The sequence below is a fragment of the Homo sapiens genome, chromosome 15 (genome assembly GCF_000001405.40).
Source record: "Homo sapiens chromosome 15, GRCh38.p14 Primary Assembly".
Taxonomy (NCBI): Eukaryota; Metazoa; Chordata; class Mammalia; order Primates; family Hominidae; genus Homo; species Homo sapiens.
In genome coordinates this window covers 73,318,428-73,319,020 of record NC_000015.10, presented here as the reverse complement: position 1 = coordinate 73,319,020, position 593 = coordinate 73,318,428, and the positions used below count along the sequence as shown (strand labels likewise).

Here is a 593-nt window from a genome sequence, read left to right as displayed (position 1 = left end):
CACCGCTTGCCAGGGGATGCTGTTTCCATGGCAACTGGCCGGGGAGTCCCGTTGCTAAGGAGGCAGCTCAGCGGGCCCTGGCGTCCCCATGACAACTGCCCCCTGCGGCCAGGCGTTGGTGCTTCCTTGGGGACCCCCGGAGCGGCAGAGGCAGGGCGCGGCCCTGTGCTGCGATCACCTCCCCCGCGTCTGAATGGCTGAGGCCTGGCCTCTGGGGCTGTGGGGAAGCAGTGGGGACAGGCCCCGCTGAGAGGAAGCCTGTGTGGGTGGGGCATTCGCTGCGGGGTCCTCAGTCACTGTCTCCTCTGTTCCCTGATGCGGGAAGGACAGCTAGTAAGTACCTCCTGTGCGGTAGGCCCTGGGTCTTTCCTTTGCTGTCATCTGCCCAACCACCCCAGAGGTCAGAATTTCCCTCAGTTACAGTGAGCCAAAGGGAAAGGGGCTCAGAGAGGCAGGAATTTGCCAGCCCTGTCAGCTAGAAGAAAGGAGCGGGGCTGCACACCCAGGTGCCGGGGACTCAATCTGGTCTCGTCCCACTAGAGCCTTAGCAAGGGCTGGCGGTAGGAGCTGTCTGTCCCTGGTGCAGGCAACAA

At 63.6% G+C, this 593-nt stretch overlaps 1 annotated feature.

Annotated features, from left to right (window-relative positions):
* Nucleotides 1-50: a silencer, noted in NCBI's record as "silent region_6632". NCBI's record gives its function as "represses an Ori minimal core promoter by ATAC-STARR-seq in GM12878 lymphoblastoid cells {active_cell/tissue: GM12878}" and the evidence as "EXISTENCE:reporter gene assay evidence [ECO:0000049][PMID:35858748]".